At 52.0% G+C, this 4,854-nt stretch overlaps 1 long non-coding RNA gene across 1 annotated transcript; it reads right to left on the reverse strand.

Moving 5' to 3' along the window:
- Window positions 1–1,738: 1,738 nt before the first annotated feature.
- LOC107985537 (uncharacterized) lies at window positions 1,739–3,008 on the reverse strand. The gene is made up of 3 exons (XR_001755613.2): window positions 2,821–3,008; window positions 2,237–2,362; window positions 1,739–1,989 (listed from the first exon to the last, which is right to left on the reverse strand). It is a non-coding gene; the product is annotated as an uncharacterized LOC107985537 (long non-coding RNA).
- Between the last annotated feature and the right edge of the window lie 1,846 nt (window positions 3,009–4,854).

Genomic DNA, 4,854 nt, shown 5'->3' on the forward strand with positions numbered 1-4,854 from the left:
ACAGCCACGGGGGCTCGGGGAGTTGGAGATCGGAATCCAGATTTGCTTGACTCTCATCTGTGTCCAACATGATGCTAAACAGCCGCCCTTGGTGTGGCACTCAGGTCAGAGCTGGAAGTGAGACATACTTGGGACATCCACTTCTGAGGTTCGGCAGATTTTATTTTAACTTAGAATTCCACTGGCGTGTGACTAATTGATCCTGCCTGAAGCGTGTTCCATCAAAGGGGCCCTGACCTAGGGACTCGAGGGGGTCAGACCTCCCTCCGAATACACCACCCTCCATCAGCACTACCCGAGAAGTCAGCTTTTAGCTTTCAGACCTCTCCCCAAGATGAAGGTGACAAGTGAGGCCTTCTTTATTGCTCCCAGAGGCCCCAGCATTTTAGGTATTTTAGGTATGAATTAGGAAAAACCACCCCCGCCCCCATGCAGGGCTCTCTGGGTGGGTGTGGTCCCTTGTCCAGACACATGGCTAGGCCAGCTTCCAGTGGGTGACATCCAGGGCACAGCCTTTATCCCAACAACTTACAACCACAGGGTCACAAGAAAATGGGTCATATGGATCATATTGAGGGAAGTGCGTGCAGACACCATTCTAAACACTTTTAGTTATATTAACTCATTTAATCTGCACAACCGTCATATGAGGTAGGTTCTATTACTATTGCCATTTCACAGATGAGGAAGCTGGTCGGGCGCGGTGGCTCACACCTATAATCCCAGCATTTTGGGAGGCTGAGGCGGGTGGATTACGTGAGGTTAGGAGTTTGAGACCAGCCTGACCAACATGGCGAAAACTTGTCTCTACTAAAAAAAAAAATACAAGAAAAATTAGCTAGGCATGGTGGCATGCACCTGTAATCCCAACTACTTCAGGAGGCTAGGGCAGGAGAATCGCTTGAACCCAGGAGGCAGAGGTTGTGGTAAGCCAAGATCACACTACCGCACTCCAGCCTGGGCAACTCGGTAAGACTGTATCTCAAAAAACAAACAAACAAACAAACAAACAAACAGATGAGGAAGCTGAGGTTGTCATTTCAGAATACAGGAACCATGGGCCAAAGCTTTTTTTGGGGTTTTTTTTTCAGACAGGATCTCACTCCGTCCCAGTCACACAGAGCTGGGCGGGCGGATCATGAGGCCAGGAGTTTGAGACCAGCCTGGCTGACATGGTGAAACCCCATCTCTACTAAACATACAAAAATTAGCTGGTCGTGGTGGTGGGTGCCTGTAATCCCAGCTACTTGGGAGGCTGAGGCAGGAGAATTGTTTGAACCCAGGAGGCGGTGGTTGCCGTGAGCCGAGATCGCACCATTGCACTCCAGCCTAGAGTGCAGTGGTGCGATCACAGCTCACTGCAGCCTCAGTTTCCCAGTTTCAAGCAATCTTCCGACGTCAGCCTCCTGAGTAGCTTGGACCACAGGTGTACACCATCATACCCAGCTAATTTTTGTATTTTTTATAGAGGTGCTGTCTCACTACCAGCCACCAGCCCAGGCTGGTTTTGAACTCCTGGGCTCGAGCGATTCTCTCACTTCAGCCTCTCAAACTGCTGGGATTACAGGCATGAGCCACCACACCGGGCCCCAGGGTTATTTTATGTGACAAACTCCACCACGTGACTCTCCTGAACCCTTCTGGGCAGCCCTCACTGTAACATCACAGAAGATGGACATGACCTCCAAAGCCCCCTCGGTCAGGTTCCTGCCTCGCCCCCTCCAGGGCCCCGCACCCACCCTGGTCTGGCAGCACTCCAAAAGTGCTCTGAGCCTTTGCACTGGCTATCTATCCTCCTCAGATTATCCTTCCCCACCTGCTCTGCCTGGCAAACACCTCTCCTTCATCTCTCGACACTTCCTTGAGCATCGTGGTTTGAGGGTCTTTTCAAGAGCAGCTTCTTTCTTCCTTCCTCTGGGTCCTGCTGTGTCCACCACATACATCTGTCACAGGACACCTTACAGCTTTTCTGTGTTCACTGTCCACCTCCTGCAATCGACAGTGGGTCCTGGGAGGACAGGTGCCAGGCCACTGTAGGGGTCTTGTGCCCTAGGCATCCTGCAGGCTGGCCCGGGCTAACTGCTTAGTGCTTGGGAAGGGCCCTGCCCTTCTGCTAACCCCCAGCCCAGGCCAGCCTTGTTCAATGAGTGTGCCCCCACCCGATCCCCATGGCACCCATGTTAGGCTCCTCAGGGATGATCTAAACCACACTTAATATTTGCTGAAACCAAAATACCTTCTGTCTAGATCTGATGGTTGTGAAGTTCTGGATAACATAATCTAGCCTGTTCTTTTCTCATACTTGTTCGGTGGCACTGGTTTGCTGGTGTCTTGAGCATCTATGAAACAGTCTCGCAGAGGCCTGGGGAGAAAGCAAACAGACGTAGAAATCTTATGGACATTGCTGCTCATTTCAGTGAACCCGAGGCCGTGTTCTTAGCAAAGCATCCTAGGAAACACCGGGCTAGGCATGCGTGGAGAACATGGGTCCTCAGACTCTCAGCTCCTCAAGGGAGATGTGCTCAAATTCATGGTGACGGTATTCAGATCGCTCAGGGTAAGGGCTTTCCAAATTGAGAGAAGCCCTCAGTACAGACCTCTTGCACCACTAAATACCTTACTCAGAAATTGCAGCATAATGGTTTGCATGGCTATAAAAGGGCCTGGAGTAAGCCATGTTGGCCAGGCCTCATGCCCAAATTCCTAGGGCATTTTCTCCATCCTACAGCCCCACACTATTGGGGCTTTGTAGTAATGTCTGGGCGGCACCCACATGCGGGCCCCCCGTTGCCTTGAAATGATGGCCCATTGGTGCCCTACCTGGCTGTGTGCACTGGGATGACAGGTCCTGAGGAACACGGATGGTGGTGGTGAGAGAGGAGGAGGCAGCATGAATCTCAAGCCGCTTTCTGACTTGGGCAGCTGGCTGGGTGGGAGTCTCTTTCACAGAGGCAGGAAACACAGGAGGCAAGCCAGGGTTGGGGTGGAAACATGTAATCAGCGTCCTAGGGCTGCCATGACAAAGCCCCACAGACTGGCAGCTTAGACCCCAGACTTCTTTTTTTTTTGGAGACTGAGTTTTGCTTTTGTCACCCAGGCTGGAATGCAGTGGCGTGATCTCGGCTCACTGCAACCTCCACCTCCTGGGTTGAAGTGATTCTCCTGCCTCAGCCTCCCGAGTAGGTGGGACTACAGGCATGCACCATCACACCAGCTAATTATTGTGTTTTTAGTAGAGATGAGGTTTCACCATGTTGGCCAGGTGTCGAACTCCTGACCTCAGGTGATCCACCCGCCTCGGCCTCCCGAAGTGTTGGGATTACAGACGTGAGCCACTGCGCCCAGCTTAGATCCTGGGCTTCTTTCCTCATAGTTCTGGAGGCTGGAAGTCCGAGACAAAGGTGTCGGCAGGGCTGGTTTCTTCAGAGGTCCCCCGCCTTGACCTGTAGATGCCTCCTCCTCCTTATGTCTTCACGTGGGCATCCCTCTGTGTGTGTCTGTGTCCTAATCTCTGCTTAAAAGAAGAATAAGGTGGGCTGGGCACAGTGGCTCACGCCTGTAATCCCAGTACTTTGGGAGGCCGAGGCGGGCGGATCACAAGGTCAGGAGTTTGAGACCAGCCTGGCCAACATGGTGAAACCCCGTCTCTACTAAGCATACAAAAATTAGCTGGGTGTGGTGGCGGGTGCCTGTAATCCCAGCTACTTGGGAGGCTGAGGCAGGAGAATTGTTTGAACCTAGGAGGTGGGGGTTGCGGTGAGCCAAGATTGCACCATTACACTCCAGCCTGGATGACAGGGCAAGACTCCATCCCCTCCCCCCCCAAAAAAAGAATAAGGCAACCTCAGCCCTCATCTGTTAAATGGGAAGACAACCAGTCACATTCTTATAAGAACTCACCCTAATAGACTCATCTTACCCTAATGACCCCATTGAACACCCTGTCTCCACGCACAGCCACATTCTGAGGTTCTGGTGATGACAGACTTCAACGTGTAGATTTCTCAGGGACATGATTCCTCCTGGAACAGCATGTGTGCAGTTCTGAACAGGCCAAGTTCTGAGAACCTCTGAGATGTCCAACAGGTGGTGGTGGAGGTATGTGTCTAGGTTCGGAGGGAGGGCGGGGCTGGGGTTGGGAAAACGATGGTGCCTAGAGCCACAGAGGAGGGAGCGTTGAGCCAGGATGGAGGGTGGAGGGAGAAGGAGCCAGGACTAAACACATAGGAAACCCACGGGGAAAAGGGGGATGGCAGCTGTGAATGATGGGACACAGGAGACCCGGAGGACAGTGGAGTCACAGGAGGGACCCACGGAAGGGACTGCTTCAAGGAAGAGGAAGTGTGGCCATGCTGAATTGGTCTTGTTGGGGCAGGCCTCTTTCCCCCTGGCCCTCATTCTATTTCATGTCTTCCCCAAGATGGTGGACATCTTGAGACAGGAATTTGGTTTTATCCAAGTCCCCAGCACTCACCCCAGGGGCTTGGCTCAGGAAAGGAATAAAAATTGAAATATAAAAATATCCATAGGCCAGGTGTGGTGGCTCATGCCTTGTAATCCCGGCACTTTGGGAGGCAGGTTGATCACCTCAGGTCAGGAGTTCAAGACCAGCCTGGCTAAGATGGTGAAATCGTGTTTCTACTAAAAATACAAAAAATTAGCCAGGCATGGTGGCAGGCGCCTGTAATCCTAGCTACTCCGGAAGCTGAGGCAGGAGAATCGCTTGAACCCGGGAGGTGGAGGTTGCAGTGAGCCGAGGTTGCGCCATTGCACTCCAGCCTGAGCAACAAGAGTGAAACTCCATCTAAAAAACAAAAAAATTCACTTACAGTTTTCCTTAATCAGGTATGAATT

This window comes from Homo sapiens, chromosome 22 (genome assembly GCF_000001405.40).
Source record: "Homo sapiens chromosome 22, GRCh38.p14 Primary Assembly".
In the NCBI taxonomy this organism is placed as follows: domain Eukaryota; kingdom Metazoa; phylum Chordata; class Mammalia; order Primates; family Hominidae; genus Homo; species Homo sapiens.